Genomic DNA, 18801 nt, shown 5'->3' on the forward strand with positions numbered 1-18801 from the left:
GTGGGGGCTAACATTTAATGTGAAACAATTTCGGACTCACAAAATGTTTCCAGGAAAAAAAAAATCTCTTCTATATCCTTCACCCATATTCCCCAATTACTAATACTTTATCACATTTACTTGGTCACTTATCTGTCTATCATCAAGTCAACTTACTTTTTGTTGCATTTCAATGTAAGTTACCGTTATCGGTACACTTCACCCAAAACAATTCAAAATGCACACCATTAACTAGAGTCAGTATTTGTTTTTATTATTTTGAAGTAAAATTTATACATAGTGAAACGCTTACGTCTTTAACATACTATTTGAGGAGTTTTGACAAATATATAAACTCTTGTCAATATATAAACTCTTGTCAATATATAGAGTATTCCACCACCCCAAAACATTTCCTAAAGTCTCTACCCATTACTGTCTCTACTCCACCTGGAAACGCAGAGAGGCACAGCCCTATCTCTTGCACCCATAAGGACACTCACAGCATAGACTGGGCGAGGGCCAGCATCTCTGGACTGACTGCCCATCAGGGAGGGCTTAGGCCTCAGCCAGCTGCTGCAGCAACGAGAGAGTCCCATAGAGGGCAGACAGGGGCATCTTTGCTTCTACATCCCAGGTTGACCTGGGGTTATCCAGCTCCATCCTAAGGCCACACTCCTCCAGCAGGCCATAGGTGATGGCCAAACCCTCACTCTGGAGTGGGGCGAGGAGCTCAGGTTTGAGGGTGAAGGGAATGCTCCAGGGGTATCTGAAGTTTGGCTCCAGGATGCTCCTTACCTAGAAGAAAGATGATCAGGTTCTACAGACCAGCCTTTAAGATGAGGAAGAGAAGGCTTCTGCCCCAGTATCCAGGGGCCATGCAGGATAATAAAAGGAGCAAGAGCTTTGGGATCCAGCGGACCAGGAGTAACATGCTGGTCATACCCTACGATCCAAAGATCAAGTTATTGGAAATCAGGGAGCATTGGTTCCACATCTATGAAATGGTGAAAATAAAACTCCCCTTGTAGAATAGTGGTGTTTTTATTTCTAAATGTATATGCATATATGTATGTATATAGTATATGCATATAAAGGTATGTATTTATATACACATATACTTGGAGAGAGAAAAACAGAGAAATTAGCAAATCATAACAGTGTAACTAGAGCAGAAGTAATTAGCAAATGGTAACAGTGTGACTAGAGCAGGAATATTATATCCCCTTAGACCTCAAAGTCCTGTGCTCCTATATGGCTATTTTAGGCCTGTTGGGGAATGCTGCAGGGATTGCCATGGAAACTAAGACCCTCCTGAGGGAGGCTTATACCCACTGGACCAGGTCTCCAGAAGGACACTGCAGCCAAGGATTCCCCAGTGGCCACCCTGTGATCTGGACTCCCCTCCCAGCAAAAACCTGTATCATCTCTCTTTCCTCAGAATCATTCTTCTTACCTCTGGTTCCCTCACCCTCTTCCCTGAACTTCTGGCCCCTGGGAAGTTCTCACCAGCTCCTGTTGCTGAAGCAGGATCCTCTTCTCCATGGAACAGGCCAGCAAATCGTGTTGGAAGTCACTCAGCACTGAGGGTGGGGGACATGTGGGGAAAGACAGTAGTGAAGAATCCAGATTTTTCCTCCCACCATAAAGCAGGAGACCCCCTGAGAGAATAACTCCAAGGCAGAGGAATAAAACCCATTAGACTTGAAGGTCAAGCTCCCTGCCCTGGGAAGCCCTTCAGAATGGTCTCCAGGATGCTAAATAAGAGGGACCAGAGGACGGGATTCAGGGGCTGAAAGCTGGAATCACCCACCTCCAATGATTTGTGGATGAACATAAACTGGTAACTCCCTAGGCCTTAAACTCAATTCTGTGTCATACGGCAAGTTATCACAGTGAGCCCTCTGACCTTAGAGAGAGCTGTGATGTAAGGACGAAAGATCATGGCATTCAAAGGGCTTTGGAGACACAGCATCTAACACAGCTTTTTGCGGGTCCTGGGGACCAATCTTGTGATTCTCCCATTCTTCCCTTTAATTACTCTTACCCATTATGGCTTCAAGGAGATAAAGAATGGGGTCCTTTGGGTTAAACCATGCATGGTTTGAATCCTGTTGAAGTTTCTTTAGGATGGCACCACCAGGGCCATCCAAATGACCTGAGCTGTCCAATTCCAGCTATAGAAGACAGGTATTATTGTTAATAATAATACTAATAACAGTAATGTTATATAATTTGCCTGTGTCTACTGGTGATAACCAAGGGGTAGGCATGAGGGTTCTCTACCTCCCCCAGGGGATTCCAAGCAGCCTCAGTAGTGGGGGCGACACTTCCCTGGCCCATTGTGCCCGGCACCAGAGTCCCCAGTCTTTCTCATTCCCCTGGCATCTTGCTTATTCTTCCTCCTCCATGTAACTTGGGAGTCATATCTCCTAACCAATCCCATTTACAGCTTTTACCAGACCTATGCAACTGTGGAGCCCCTCACCATGTTCATCAGGTCCTGTAGAGCCCCTCTGTCTCTGAGCATGGCCAGGATACTGTAGAACATGACATCCTGAACATCCTTTGAGAGCTGAGCCAGTGTCTTTATTTTCTGGAAAACCTCCTCTTGTAGATGCTTGAAATCTGCTCTCAGGCATCAACGCCGACCAGAAAGTGGGGACAAGTCTTTGATTAGAACATCCTTGGAATGACAGCCTGTTTGCACGAATATGAACCAAACTCCTCTATCCCTTTCAGCTGCTAACCAAAATTGTCTCTGCTAATGGCATGCTTGAGCTTTGTGGATAGAGCTGGCATAAGAAGGAAAAAGATGGACAATCCAGTGTTCTGAAAAGGGGAAATAGGGTACTGGGAGCAGAGATTGAGATTCTGAAAAGACATCATCACAAATGGAAGAGAATGGCAAAGTGGTCATTTCTGGGACATGTCAGGAATACTGTAAAATCTAGCATTGGGCCTTAGAGGCAAAAAACTTAGATGCTCTGGAATCAGTTTCCATATTGGTTAAATGGGATGTTATGAGGATTAAAAGAGTTTATGTAGGCCAAGCATGATTGCTCACACCTGTAATCCCAGCACTTCGGGAGGCTGACATGGGGGGATTGCTTGAGGCCAGGAATTTAAGACCAGCCTGGTCAACATAGTGAGACCCCATCTCAAAAAAACAAGAGAGAGAGAGAGAGTTTATGTATGTAAGGCACTTGGCACATATAAGCTACCCTTATTATCATGCAATTTTGCCAGTATCCTCAATGTTTATGAAGAATTAACCAAGGGGTGGATGCTGGGGGCCCTCTGTCTCTCCCAGGAGACATCTGGCTCCCTCAGGGTGTACTGCTTGGGATGAGAGATCACTGGATTGGAAGCTCCAAAGAGGCAAGAATTTGTCTGCTTGGTTCACAGCCATAACTTTCAGGTTCAAAATAATTCTTGTTGTCCAATAAGTCCTCAATAAATGTTTGTTTGTTTCATGAGCAAAGTGCAAATTTGGAAGTGGACCTCAGTTTCTGACTTGCATAGAAACCACCAACTTGGGTGCTCAGACTTGCAGCTCCCACCCAGAAGCCCCAGGTTCCCCCTTAATAAATACTTACTTTGCCAGAAGGGTTCCTCTATTCTTCCTAGAAGGAGAATCAAGTCATCATCTCACTTCCTCATCCCCCCAAATTTGCTTTTCAGATGTTTTGGAGGGTTCTGCTCTCCTACCACCTCCTCCCTCTTACTCAACTTCTTCCTGCCCCCATTCCCATTCATCCTCCATGTTCTCAGCTTTCTGGACCCTTCCCATTCCACATGACCAAACGCCAGGCCCTAGGGCGGTGGTGGCAAAGGCGAGGCAGGGGCAATCTGCCCTACTTACCCCATGTGTGCAGGATGGGATCCCCACCCCCACCTCCAGCAAACTCACACTCACCTACTGGGAGGATGTGAACTTGTTCGTATTCTAAAAAAAGAAATGAAATTCCTCACCAAAGAGGCTCAAAGACTAGATTTCTCCAACCTTCTGCCCTTCTTTCCCTGAACCACTCTTCTCTATCTGTTCCTGCCCTTTTCCCCAGAGGCCAGACCCCAAGACTTTGGGTAATAGCACCAAAGGCAATCAGGTGGTTTTTTGTTGTGCAGATTGTCCTGGAAGGGGAGGGCCAGATTCCACTCACTTGGCAAATGCCCGCTCAAAAATTGCTGTGTCAGAAATAGCTCTGGAAAGAGAAAGAAAAGTGTTTACTCACCAAACATTAGTCTACCCCTACTTTTCCTCCTCTACTTCTTTCCCTCTTGGTCTCACCTCTAACTCCTCTATCCTCCCCTTATTTCTCACATGTTCCATCAGTTCAGTTAAAAAACTTCCCCAGAGAGATGGATCCCCAGGCAGCCTCTTTCCCCAACAGACTCACACCTATCCCAATGTTCAAAGGAGAAAGCCTGGTTTCCCTGTGGCCCCAGGGGACAGTGGCTGGGTCAGAGGAAGGGGACAGTTGCAGGAAATGGAGGAGCATGACTGGGGGAATGTTCTCTGTGGGTTTGTGTGGGCTGAGCCCAAGCAGGGCTCTTGTGGGAATCCAAAGGGGGTCAGGGATCAGCAGTGCCTAAGTTCTAAGCAAAAAAACACTGCCAGAGGAGGATGAGCAAGATGGTGCAATAGAAGCCTACATGGTTCATACACCCCACATAAACACCAAATTTTAACAACTATCTGCACAAAGAAAAGCATCAACATAGAAGTAAAAATAAAGTGAGCAATCACAGTACCTGGTTTTAACTTCATATCATTGGATGAGGCATTGAAGAGGGTTGGAGAGATGGTATGAAATGATGGTAGCAACCCCTCACTCCTCGCAGCACAGTAGCCTACCATTTCGGAAATTTCGTACTCTTGGGAGAGAGGGAGAGCAGAATGACTGGGTAACTTTACATTGAACTCAGTACTGCCTTGTCATAGCAGAGAGCAGAGCCAGGCTGGGCTCAATCAGTGCCAGTGCACGAAGGGAGCATTTGAACAAGACCCACTCAAAGAGGAATTGCCCATTCCTTCTTTCAGAACTCAAGTTTCTTGGCAAGCCTTGCAAATGCCAGCCAAAGAGCTCTGGAGTCCTAGGTAAACTTAAAGGTCAGTCTAGGACAGAAGGACTGCAATGTTTAGGCAATTTCTAATGCTGAGCTAGGCTCAGAGCCAGAGGACTAGAGTGACATGTGACCTAAAGAGACACCAGCTGGGGTGACTAAAAAAAGGTGCTTGCGCTACCCCACCCCCAATCTCAGGCAGTGCAGCTCACAGAAATGAAAGTGTCTCATTCCCTTTGTTTAAGTGAAGAGAGTGAAGAGTACAGAGGATTCTGTCCCGCATCGTGGATATCACCTCAGCCACAGTAGGACAGGAGACTGGGTAGAGTTGTGAGGCCCCCATTCCAAGCCCTAGCTCCTGGACAACATCTCTAGACACCCCTGGGTGAAAAGGGAACCTACTGCCTTGAAGGGAAGAACACAGTCCTGGCAGAATTCATCATCTGCTGAATACAGAACCATTGGGCCCTAAATAACCAGCAGCAGTACCCAGGTGGTATGTAGTGGGCCTTGGGCTCTGAGATGTGCTAACTAAAGGTGTGACTCAGCATATTCCCAGCTGCGGTGGCTATGGTGAAAGACTCCTTCTGTTTGAGAAAAGCAGAGGGAAAAGTAAAGAGGAGGCTTTGCCTTGCATCTTAGGTACCAGTTCAGCCACAGTGGTGTAGTGCACCAAGCAGGCTCTTGGGGCCCTCAAGACCAGGCCTAGGGTCTTCAACAGCATTTCTGGACCTGCCCTGGGCCACAGGAGAGCCCACTTCCCTAAAGGGTGAGACCCAGGCCAGACACCATTTACCACAAGCTGACTCATGAGCCCTTGGGCTGTCAGCAAACATATGCAGTGGCCTGGCAGAACCCCTCATGGGCCGGTGGTAATGGTGGCCACAGAGAGAGCTCCTCTACCTGTGAAAAGGGGAGGGAAGAGTGGGGAAAACTTTGTCTTGTGATTTGAGTGACAGCTTAGCAGCAGTAGAGCAGAACATAAGGTAAATTTATAAGATATTTTACTTCAATCCCTAGCTCCCAAACAGCATCTCTGTACCCACCCAAGGCCTGGGAAAACTCACTGCTCTGACGGGAAGTGAAAAAATCTCACTGGCTTTGTCACCTGCTGATTGTAGAGCCCTAGGGCCTTCAGTGAACACAGGTAGTAGCCAAGTAGTGGTTACAGCAGGCCTTGGGTGAGACCCAGTGCTGTGCTGGCTTCAGGTCTAACCCAGTGCAGAGCCAGTGGTGGTGGCCACAGGGGTGCTTGCATCACCACACTCCCAATTTCAGGTGGCTCAGTACAGAGAGAGAGACCCCATTTGTTTGGGAGAAAGTAAGGGGAAAAAACAAGAGTCTCTGCCTGGAAATCCAGGTAATTTTTCTGGATCTTATGCAAGACCACCAAAGCAGAACCTCTATGAGTCTGCAACAACCACAGAGATATCAAACAGGAAAACCAAGTCCCTTTGAATACCTGGAAAGCCTTCTCAAGGACAGGCACAAACAAGCCTGAGAAGACTAAAATAAATACCTAATTCATCAATGCCTACATACCAAAAAACATCTACAAGAATCAGGATCATCCAGGAAAACATGACCTCACCAATGAACGAAACAAGGCACCAGGGACAAATCCTGGAAGAAAAAGAGACATGTGATCTTTCAGATGAAGAATTCAGAATAGTATTTTGAAGAAACTCAAAGGAATTCAAGATAACTTGAGAAGAAATTCAGAATTCTATCAGGCACATTTAAAAAAGAAATTGAAATAATTAAAAAGAATTAAGCCAAAATTCTGGAGTTGAAAAATGCAGTTGACATACTGAAGAATGCCTGAGAGTCACTTAATAATAGACTCAATCAAGCATAAGGAAGTATTAGTGAGCTTGAAGACAGCCTATTTGAAAATATACCGTCAGAGGAACCAAAAGAAAAAAGAATAAAAAACAATGAAGCACACACATATGATCTAGAAAATAGCCTCAGAAAGACAAATCTAAAAGTTGACCTTAAAGAGGACACAGAGAAAGAGATAGGGTAAGAAAGTTTATCCAAAGGAATAATATTAAAGAATTTCCCAAACCTATAGAAAGATACCAACATTCAAGTACAAGTAAGTTATAGAACACCACGCAGATTTAACCCAAAGCAGACTACCTCAAGGTGTCTCATAATCAAACTCTCAAAGATCAAGGATAAAGAAAGGATCTTAAAGCAGCAAGGAAAAAGAAACAAATAGCATACAATGGAGTTGCAATATGTCTGGCAGCAGACTTTTCACTGGAAACCTTACAGGCCAGGAGAGAATGGCATGACATATTTAAATTGCTGAAGAAAAAAAAACCTTTTATCCTAGAAGAGTATAACTGGCAAAAATATCCTCCAAGGATGAAGGAGAAATAAAGACATCTCCAGACAAACAAAAGCTGAGTAATTTCATCAACACCAGACCTGTCTTATAAGAAATGTTAAAGGGAGTTCTTCAGTCTGAAAGAAAAGGACATTAATGAGCAAGAAGAAATCATCTAAAGATACAAAACTCACTGCTAATAGGAAGCACATGGAAAAACATAAACATTATAACACTATAATTATGGCATGTAAACTATTCTTAAGCAGAAAGACTAAATGATGAATCAATCAAAAATAACTACAACTTTTCAAGACATAGTACAATAAGACATAAAGACAAACAACAAGAAGTTAGAAAGCGGGAAGGTAAAGTGTAGAGTTTTTACTTTATTAGGTTTCTTTTTGCCTATTAGTTCATTTGTTTATGCAATCAATGTTAAGTTCTCATCAGTTTAAAATAATGGGTTATGAGACAGTATTTGTAAGTCTTACAGTAACCTCAAATCAAAAGACTTACAATGGACACAGAAAACAAAAAGCAAAAAAAAAAACACCATCAGAGAAAATCACCTTCACTAAAAGGAAGGCAAAAAGGAAGAAAAGAAGGCCAGAAAACAATAACAAAATGGCAGGATTAAATCCCTATTTATCAACAATAACATTAATTGTAAATGGGCTAAACTCATCAATCAAAAGATGAAGAGTGGCTGAAAGGATTAAAAAAAAAAACAAGATTCCATGATCTGTTACCTACAAAAAACACACTTCATCTATAAAGATACACATAGACTGAAAATAAAGGGATGGAAAAAGATATTCCATGCTAATGGAAACCAAAAAAAAAAGCAGAAATAGCTATACTTACATCAGACAAAATAGATTTCAAGACAAAAACTGTAAGGAGAGACAAAAAAAGGTCATTATATAAAGATAAGGGGGTCGATCTAACAACATGATATAATGATGGTAAATATATATGCACTCAACACTGCAGTACCCAGATATATAAAGCAAATATTATTAGAGCTAAAGAGAGAGATATTATTAGAGCTAAAGAGAGAGAGAGCTAAAGAGAGATTATTAGAGCTAAAGAGACAGTAATAGGTGGAGACCTCAACACCCTACTTTCAGCACTGAACAGATCTCACAGAAAGAAACTCAAGAAAGAAGCCTGAGACTTATTCTGCACTATAGAGCAAATAGAGCTAATAGATACTTAGAGAACATTTCATCTAAAGGCTGCAGAATACACATTTTTTTCTCCTCAGCACATGGATCATTCTCAATGATACATCATATGTTAGGTTATAAAACAAGCATTAAAACATTCCAAAATATTGAAATAATATCAGCCATCTTCTCTGACCACAATGGAATAAAACTAGAAATCAACAATAAGAGGAATTTTGGAAACCATACAAATACATGGAAATTAAACAATATGCTCCTGAATGACCAGTGGGTCAAGGAAAACATTAATAAGGAAATTGAAACATTTCTTGAAACAAATGAGAATGGAAACACAACATACCAAAAGCTGTGGGACAAAGCAAAGCAGTACAAAGAGGCATATTTATAGCTATAAGTGCCTACATCAAAAAAGAAGAAAAACTTCATAAAAAACTACCTTATGATGCATCTTAAAGAACTAGAAAAGCAAGATCAAACCAAACCCACAATTAGAAAAAAAGAAATAATAAAGATCAGAGTAGAAATAAATGAAATTAAAGTGAAGAAAACAATACAAAAGATCAATGAAACAAAAAGTTGGCTTTTTGAAAAGATATACAAAATTGACAAAACTTTAGCCAGAACAATAAAAAAAAAAATGGAGAGGACGCAAATAAAATCAGAGATGAAAAAGGAGACATTACAACTGATACAGCAGAAATTTAAAGGATCATTAGTGGCTACTATGAACAACCATATGCCAATAAATTGGAAAATCTAGAGAAAAATGATACATTCCTAGACCCAGAGAACCTACCAAGATTAAACCATGAAGAAATTTAAAACCTGAACAGATCAGTAATGAGTAATGAGATAGAAGCTGTAATAAAAAGTCTCCCAGTAAAGAAAAGCCCAGGACCTGATGGATTCACTGCTGAATTCTACCAAATATTTAAAGTAAAATATGAATACTAGTCCTACTCAAACTACTCCAAAAAATAGAAGAGATAATACTTCAAAACTCATTCTATGAGGCCAGTATTACCCAGATACCAAAACTAAATTAAGATACATCAAAAAAAAAGAAAAAAGAAACCCTATAGGCAATATCTCTGATGAATATTGATGCAAAAATTTTCAACAAAATACTAGCAAACCGAATTCAATGAAACATTAACAAGGTCATTTACAGCCAGGTGTCATGATCACACCTGCAATCCCAGCACTTTGGGAGGCCAAGGTGGCTAGATTACTTGAGCTCAGGAGTTTGAGACCAGCCTGGGCAACATGGTGAGACCATGTCTCTACAAAAAGATACAAAAATTAGCCAGGCATGGTGACACATGCCTGTAGTCCTAGCTACTTGGGGGCTGAGGTGGGAGGATCATTTGAGTATGTGAGGCAGAGGTTGCAGTGAGCCATGTTCATGCCACTACCACTACAGCCTGAGCAACAAAGTAAAACCCTGTCTCAAAAAAAGAAAAGAAAAGAATTCATTATGAGCAAGTAAGATTTATCCCAGGGATGCAAAGATAGTTCAACATACACAAATCAATCAATGTGATACATTATATCAACAGAATGAAGGACAAAAACCGTATGATCATTTCAATTGATGCTAAAAAGGTATTTCATAAAGTTAAATATTCCTTCATGATAAAAACCCTTTAAAAACCAGGTATAGAAGAAAGATACCTCAACATGATAAAAGCCATATATGACAGAGCCACAGCTAGTTTCATACTGAGTGGGGAAAAATTGAAAGCCTTTCATCTTAGATCTGGAACATGACAAAGAGGTCCACATTCATTATTGCTGTTTAGCATAGTGCTGGAAGTCTTAGCTAGAGCAATCAGACAAGAGAAAGAACTAAAGGGCATCCAGATTGGAAAGGAAGAAGTCAAATCATCCTTTTTCGCAGATGATATGATCTTATATTTGGAAAAACCTATAGGCTCCACTAAAAAAACTATTAGAACTGATAAACAAATTCAGTAAAGTTGAGGAATATAAATTCAACATACAAAAATCAGTGGCATTTCTATATGCCAACAGTGAACACTCTAAAATAGAAATTTAAAAATTAATCGCATTGACAATAGGGATAAAATAAAACATCTAGGAATTAACTTAACCAAAGAAGTGAAAGTTCTCTACAATAAAAACTATAAAACATTGATGAAAGAAATTGAAGAAGACACCAAAAAAGTGAAAAGATATTCCATGTTCATGGATGGGAATAATTAAAATTGTTAAAATGTCTATACTCCCCAAAGCAATCTACAGATTCAATGCAATCCCTATCAAAACACCAATGACATTCTTCACAGTAAGAAAAAAAAATTCTAAAATTCATATGGAAGCACAAAAGACCCAGAATAACCAAAGCTATCCTCAGCAAAAAGAACAAAACCAGAAGAATCACATTACCTGACTCCAAATTAAACTGCAGAGCTATAGTAACCAAAACAACATGATACTGCCATAAAAACAGACCCATAACCAAAGGAACAAAATAGAGAACCTAGAAACAAATCTATGTACCTACAGTGAACCATCTTTGACAAAGTTGCCAAGCACATACAATGGAGAAAGGACAGTCTCTTCAATAAATGGTGCTGGGAAAACTGGATATCCGTATCCAGGAGAATAAAACTAGACCCCTATCTCTTACCATATACAAAAATCAAATCAAAATCATTTAAAGACTTAAATCTAAGGCCTCAAACTATGAAACTACTAAAATAAAACATTAAGAAAACTCTTCAGGACAATGGTCTGGGCAAAGATTTCTTCAGTAAATACTCCACAAGCACTGGCAACTAAAGCAAAAATAGACAAATGGGATCGCATCAAGTTAAAAAGCTTCTTCACAGGAAAGGAAACAATCAACAAAGTGAAGACACAACCCACAGAATCTGAGAAAATATTTGCAAACTACCCATCTGAGAAGGGATTAATAACCAGAATATTTAAGAAGCTCAAATGACTATATAGAAATAAATCTAATAATCTGATTGAAAATGGGCAAAAGATGTGAGTAGACATTTCTCAAAAGAAGACATACGAATAGCAAACAGACATATGAAAATGTGCTCAACATCACTGATCTTCTGAGAAATGCAAATCAAAACTACAATGAGATATTATCTCACCCCTGTTAAAATGGCTTATATCCAAGACAGGCAATAACACATGCTGGGGAGGATGCAGAGAAAAGGAGACTCTCATATGCCGTTGATGGGAATGTAAATTAGTACAATCACTCTGGAGAACAGTTTGGACCTTCCTCAAAAAACGAAAACTAGAGTTACCATATGATCCAGCAATCTCACTGCTGGGTATATACACCAAAAGGCAGGCAATCAGTATACCAAAGAGAGATTTAAGAACAAACATTGCAACACTGTTCACAATAGTCAAGATTTGGAAGCAAACTAAATGTCCATCAACAGATGAATGTATAAAGAAAATATCAAACATATACAAAATGGTATACTATTCACCCGTTAAAAAAATGAATGAGATCCTATTATTTGCAAAAACATTAATGAAACTGGAGTTCATTATGTTAAGTGAAATAAGTCAGGAATAGAAACACAAACATTTTATGTTTTCACTTACTTGTGGGATGTAAAAATCAAAACAGTTGAACACATACAGATATAAGTATGCTACCTGAGACTGGGAAGGGTGGTGGGGGGTCTGGAGGAGAGGTAGGGATGGTTAATGGGCACATTTTAAAAAGCTAGAAAGAATGAATAATACCTAGCATTTGATAGCACAACAGGGTGACTACAGTCAAAATAATTTAATTGTACATTTTTTAAAAACTAAAAGAGTATAACTGGATTGCTTAGAACATGAAGGATAAATGTTTGAGAAGATGAATACTCCATTTTCCATTATGTGATTATTACACATTGCATGCCTGTATCAAAACATCTCATGTACCTTATAAATATACATACCTCCCATGTACTCATAAAAATAAAAAAATAAAAAGACCAGGCTTTGGAACTCACCATCTTGAAAGGTTCTCTGTTCATCATCATCTGAGATGAGAATGGCTGAATGGAAAAGAAGAACTTCCATTAGGAGAGTTGAGGTTATTCCTGCCTGAACCTAGACCAGGGAACTCCTTATATCAAAACCACTGGGATGCCTGTTAAATCTGACCACTGGCCTCACTCTGTGCCTTCTGAATCACTTTGAAAGGTGCCCTGGAACCTGCATTTAAATAAGCAATTTAGGTAATCACTTTGCCATCCAACTTTTGGAAATTACCTTGATAGAGTAAAGGAACTCAGCTCCCTTTGACCTTCACTAGGTAGAATTGCCTCTTGCTGCCCTTTTCTTACTGATCTGCCTTACTTACCACTCTCAATTTGGCATCTTCTTGGATGATTTCACATTCTGTGTAGAGAAATATGCTGAGGTCTGAAATTCACCTAACACTAGAGTGCAAGTGTTCAACAGGGGAAAGAGCCTATGAAGAAGACAAAAAGTTGTATAAGGGTTGAAAAGTGTGAACTGAATGAAGTTAGAGGAAAAGCTAGCCTCACAGCAGTGACTGCAAGTCATGTTCTGACTACTAGCGGGGAGAGTGGCGCTCCTCTATGTCAGACGCCTCACTGTAAAATGGAGATGAGATCTTCTCTCCCTAGCTGATGCAAGGAGTGGAGATACATGCCCAGCAATGTAACTGACACCAATTCATCTTCACCCTCTCCAGTTCATCAGGATCTTTCCCCTAGCTTGACAACGGGCTCAAGTCTTCACCATCTCATAAACCCCCTTCCCAAAGCTAAGTGTCCTCCTTTAGTTATCACCTCCTCCCACCTGTTGTCCCCTCACAGCCAACTTCCTTCAAGAATCAGCTACACACTGGGTCCTCACTTCCCCTCTTTGCATTCACACTTCAACCACTGTAGTTTATTCTCCAAAGAATCCACCTGGCTTCAGTCACCAACGAATATTGACCTGATTCTATCTGGATACTACCACATCATGTTCTGTAGGGTCTTCTTTTATCTGACCACATCATTTTCTGTTTGTTGTTGATGATGATGATATTTTGAAACTAGAGCTCCTTTTCTTTTCCTTCTATGTTAAAATCATCTTATCATTCACCATGACCTTTGATAGTGCCACCATCTCCTGTTGCCCTCAGCAGGACTCTCTGACCTCTCCTGAGAGTGGGAATCCCATTCTCACCCCTTCTCCTCATTAGAGAGCTGCTTTGGATATGGTCAGTCTTTCCAGAAGCCAGAGTCCTCTAACTGAAAGACTGGAGACAGTTCAGCCTCATTCTGTCTATGGCCACTGATGGGAGGTAACTGACATCAGGACACTCCCGTGACCATGTTGCAGTGAGGATACTATAGGCAGTAGAGTGTGAGAGTGAGTGTGGGAGAAGGAGGAGCTGAACTCGATCTGTATTAAAATGAGCTCTAGCTGGGACTCAGCATTTGGGAAGGGAGAAAACAAGGACTCTGAGAGCCAGTTGTGTTCCCAGCACTCACTGTCACACCTAGGTATGCAACTGACACAGATGCTTCTGCCCACATGGAGTCTAAACCCAAAGTGTGTGTGGTCAGGAACTGTGCATTTTGAGGCTGATGAAGGAGGGAAAGATGTAGATAAAATTCTGACTTATGTTCTTAGGACATCGTGTCTGCAGTTTTGTTTGTGATTGTGATGTTGTTACCTCATAGGACCTTAATGTGGGGTTATGGGTAACCTTGGGTAAGCCTCTGTGGCTGATGAGTTGCTGAGGGTACTTAAATGAATAAGGATGGTCAGGATTAGGGTTGGAATTTGCCCAGAGCTAACAACACTCCAAGATGAACAAGTTGGATTATTTTCCATGTACCAGACTGTCTGTATCTGTCAATAGCAGCATTTCACCCAGGCCATGCTTGGAGGTGCCTCTGTGTGGTGAGATGGGTGTGTGCCCTGGACAGTAAGAAATGTGCATGCTTCTCCTTGGATAGGCAGAGCATCAAAGGTTGCATACTATGGTTATTTTCCTCTCATTTCTCTCATAGGAGAAGCAGACACCCCCTCCACTGCCATCTGCCTTGCTGAGCTCCGCTGCTCCCACCTTTCTCCTTGATAACCAGCTGCTTTCTCTTATAAGCCATCACCATGCCTTTCTGAAGAGTCAGCGCCTTCTTCTTCACTCTGAGACTCTCTCCTTGGCCTTGACCCTGGGGAGAGAAACCAGACAATACAGTATTAAATGTATGTAATTTTAAAGGTCAGATGGCTCTAGAAAGCTCATTAGGAAAAACATCAGCATTCCCTGCTCTCATCCTCCCTACTGCTGACTTCTGATTTCCAATCACTGCTCTTTCTTCCTTATTTCATCCTGTGCTCATCTTCCCATTTTTCAATTTCATGTTGATATTGCAATGTTTTTATTTCTTTCCAGATTTAACTATTTATTCTCTCTTTTTGATTATGTTGAATTCGTTTTCCTTCTCTTTCATCATTCCTTATTTCCCTTCTCCCATCTTCCTAAAATATTAACATCCCCATGTTCAAGTTAATATTCACTGTTTATACTTGGGGAAAACTGCTTTTCCCCACTCCCGATCTTTCCTTTATCAGTTAATGTGATGTCCCTTTGCCTTGTCTGTCTCTTTACTCATTCTCTCCAGAGGAGATGGGGGACACATTTTTTTGAGACCTTGTACATCTAAAGACATTTTTATTGTACCTCTCACACTTGATTGATATTTTGACTGGCCATAGAATTCTTGGCTGGAATTCTCTGGAATATGACTTTATTTCCCTTTTAGAAATATTTATGGTTGTCTTTTTGAGGTAAGTGTTCTGAAAATTCACAGTTATGTTTTATGGGGTGGATCTATGTTGACTCAAGAAACCATGCCTTCAGTGGACACTTTCATTCTGGAAACACATTCTTTGGGTCTCAGAACCTTCCTTGTATTTCCTCCTGAAAGATTTTCCACATTGCATTATGTCTTTGTTCTCCCCTTCTGGAACTCGTATTATTCAGGAGTAGTTAAATCTCCTCGACTGATCCTCAAGTTTTGTTGTTTTAATTGAGACAGTGTCTCATTCTGTCACCCAGGCTGGAATGCAGTGGCACAATCATGGCTCACAACAGCCACAACTTCCCAGGCTCAAGCAATTCTCCCACCTCAGCCTCCCAAGTAGCTGGAACTACAGGTATGCACCACCGCACCTGGCTAATTTTTTGTTTATATTTTGTAGAGACAAGGTCTCACTATGTTGCCCAGGCTGGTGTTGAACTCCTGAGCTCAAGCAATCCACCTGCAAGAGCCTCCCAAAGTGCTAGGATTACAGGCATGAGCCACTGTGCCTAGCCTCCAAATTTTTTTAATGAATATTCTCCTGTCTTTTTGCTTACTTTTTCCTGGAAATTTCTTCGATTTTGCTTTTTGACCCTTCTATTTAAGAAAAAGAATAATAAATTTCTACTACTCTATTTTTAATTTCTAAGAGCTATAAATATCCTTTTTGCAAAGCATTATTCTTCCATGAAAATAAAATATTATCTCTTAAAGAGGATCAAGTATTTCTTACCTTCCTATGTTGTTTTTGTTTCCTCTAATTTCCTAACTTCAAAGTGTTTTTGTTTTGGGTTTTAGGCTTTCCTCAAGTGTCTGTGATTTTTTTTTTCTGTTTTGTTAACGAGTGAAGCATGAAAGCTGTTAAATGTGCATAGGCAGGGCATGTTGAGTAGATGTTTCACTTTGGGGCAACCAGGCAGGGATTAAACTATCTCTTTGGGGTCTCCAGTGGTTGGGGTTTTTTTAGTTATTTCTTTTGTACTGGTTAATTTTCTTAGGAAATAATTCTTCAATCTCCCGCCTAGGCTGTGTGTTGTAGGGGTAGAAAGGGTAGAGATGTGATGCCTGGAGCTGAATGGGGAAAGGGGCTCAATGTCCCCACTCTCAATGAGGACTTGCACTTATTTTCCTTTTCCATTATGGCTTCTCACTCCCACCCTTCACTGTAACTAGTCTTCCTAAATCTAGAACCCACAGGGAATAAGTTTTCCAGAAGGTCTTCTGCCAGAGTGGGTGAGGGTAGGTGCCTGGCTATGCAGAGGTGGGAAGGGATTTGGGCTCTGAGTGTTCCTTATAAAAATTCTCTGAAGTGATTATTACACATCGTATGGCTGTATCAAAATATCTCATGTACCCCATGAATGTATACATCTACCATATTCCCACACACATTTTTTAAAAAATTAAAAAGATTTCCAGTCGATATTCTTACTTGCAGTCCCACCTATCTTCAGAGGTAGCTAGTGCCTCCGATTCCTGAACCTTTTGGGGGTTCTTGTTTCTAGACTTTCTTCCCTGCTGCAGGTGGGGGTCCACTATTCCTGCTTTCCAGGGTCTGTTACCATTTGTCCACTTTTTAGCAGTAACTCATTGGCATTGGGAAACTTAGTACACATATCGGGTTTCTTCTTTAGTTTTTAAAGCTCTTAAGTAAAGACAAATTACACAGACATATTGTAAAAGCACATTATAACACATATAAACTTTATAAGCCCTTGACCCATACTTAATCTGAATAGTTGATAAATGAATTTATTTATATTAAAAAATATTATACTTGGTTATTGTGAATGACTCATGTCAGTCACATGTGCTTGAAGATACTCTGATCTCACTCCTTGAAATATTTCTTATCAGGTTACCTTAGAGTTTAAAGTACTTTAACAACCGGGGTTTGGTATTAGTGGTCCCTCATTTCTTCCAGCCATAAAACTAGACTGTATATAACACAGTGGCCACTCATTTGAATTCTGCAGAATTTATCATTTACCCAAAGCAAAACACAATACTAAATAATTAAATATATTTCTGATTTTGTCAATACTGTATGACCCCGTATAGTAAAACACTGTAACGGAGGATATTAGAATATACTCTCAGATCAGAAGTCAGGATACATCAACATGTAAGAAGGGGGAAATAATGACTCCATCCCTTGTAATCCCTGGAAATAGAGTCCAGAGCCCCCTAGGAAATGAAGCTTGGCTGCCAGGACTGGCTGTATTTTTTTGAATTTCAATCCCACTTCAGGACAACTTTATACCTTGCCATAGGTAATCCAAAGAGCAATTTTCCCTAAAATATTCACACTACTGCTATCGTACAGCACAGTATTGTTGATCAGTTCAACAGCCTCTGTCACCACGTACAGGTTGTCCCCTCTCCTCCGGCACTCCTTCAGAAATGATGGCTCTGGATCCAACAGTTTCCTGGGGATTTAAGGAAGGAGGACAAGAGTCAGAGTGGGAAAGTGATGGCTTTTCAGGTTACTCTGGGTGCCCTTCTCCCCAAGACCTGGGAGGGGTGCAATGGCTTTGGACCCTGACAGGTAAGTCACCAATGGGTGGTAGGGCAGCAGAATGTTTTATCTGACATACAGGATAGAGGAGATCCCAATGATGGTGGTTCGGGTGTGAGAGTATATGTACCATATTGTTAAAGGCATCTGCATTTTACTAAATTATACTGGTCCTGTTAAGGGGTAACTTATAGAATTTTAGCACTAGGGTCTCTCAGAAAAAAAAGGGCTAGAAGCAGACAGGTCCAGATGATTGAGAACAGTCTTTAGGAGGTCCTGTTGTCAAAGCTGGGTATTCACACCGAACGTGTCAATTAGCACAATCAGGGTGGGCTGGGGAGCAGACAGATAAAGTGGAATGAAGCGAGAAGACTCTGCATGATTTCATGACCGTTACGGATTTACTGTCCTTGGTGGGTGGATTGGTAGGGCTGACTTGATGATGTAGTTTCCAGGGATATATGAATGGTTTGAAGTACTGAAGGTAGATTTCATTTCTATTTCAGTTCTTTCTGAAGTTCAACCTTGATTCTACTCAAGGCACCCATGGAGTCAGTGTCCTAGATAACAGTCATGTGGAATATTGAGGGATTCTTAATTGGCTTTTCAGTAGAGAAGGTTACTGCGCACACAATATTAGGTTTTGTCATTGCTGTCTTCTTACCATGTCCTTAGATGCTATGTTATGTGACATCTACTTATCTTCCAAGCATCATGTTTTATCTCCTTTATCTTGGTTGTCTAAGCTTCCAACTCACTGACCTTGCCCCTTATCCTGAAAACACCAAGCTCGGTGTTTCACCCTTCATTAGAAGGGTAAGAGTAAGAGTTTTACTTTGGCAGCATCACCCCTCCCCCAGGCGCCACCGCAACATGAATGGA

At 40.9% G+C, this 18801-nt stretch overlaps 1 protein-coding gene across 14 annotated transcripts in view, besides 1 other annotated feature; it reads right to left on the reverse strand.

Annotated features, from left to right (window-relative positions):
• The window catches only part of GSDMC (gasdermin C), an 81190-nt gene that overhangs the window by 42529 nt on the left and 19860 nt on the right, over nt 1-18801 (reverse strand). For 3 of the 14 annotated variants that reach the window (XR_928340.3, XR_928339.3, XM_011517161.3), the window contains exons 4-14: nt 17665-17830; nt 14663-14768; nt 12582-12626; nt 4735-4857; nt 4143-4184; nt 3899-3928; nt 3579-3605; nt 2468-2607; nt 2027-2156; nt 1489-1562; nt 778-925 (exon numbers count right to left, since the gene is read on the reverse strand). Coding sequence is in view for 11 of the 14 variants with exons in the window: in XM_011517161.3 (XP_011515463.1) it covers nt 800-925; nt 1489-1562; nt 2027-2156; nt 2468-2607; nt 3579-3605; nt 3899-3928; nt 4143-4184; nt 4735-4857; nt 12582-12626; nt 14663-14768; nt 17665-17830 (1009 nt within the window). In the remaining 3 variants the exon portion in view is untranslated. The other 11 variants (NM_031415.3, XM_011517163.3, XM_011517162.3 and 8 more) reach the window with 10 other exon arrangements.
• Nucleotides 5286-5485: an enhancer, noted in NCBI's record as "active region_27970". NCBI's record gives its function as "activates an Ori minimal core promoter by ATAC-STARR-seq in GM12878 lymphoblastoid cells {active_cell/tissue: GM12878}" and the evidence as "EXISTENCE:reporter gene assay evidence [ECO:0000049][PMID:35858748]".

Source organism: Homo sapiens, chromosome 8 (assembly GCF_000001405.40).
Source record: "Homo sapiens chromosome 8, GRCh38.p14 Primary Assembly".
NCBI classification, from domain to species: Eukaryota; Metazoa; Chordata; class Mammalia; order Primates; family Hominidae; genus Homo; species Homo sapiens.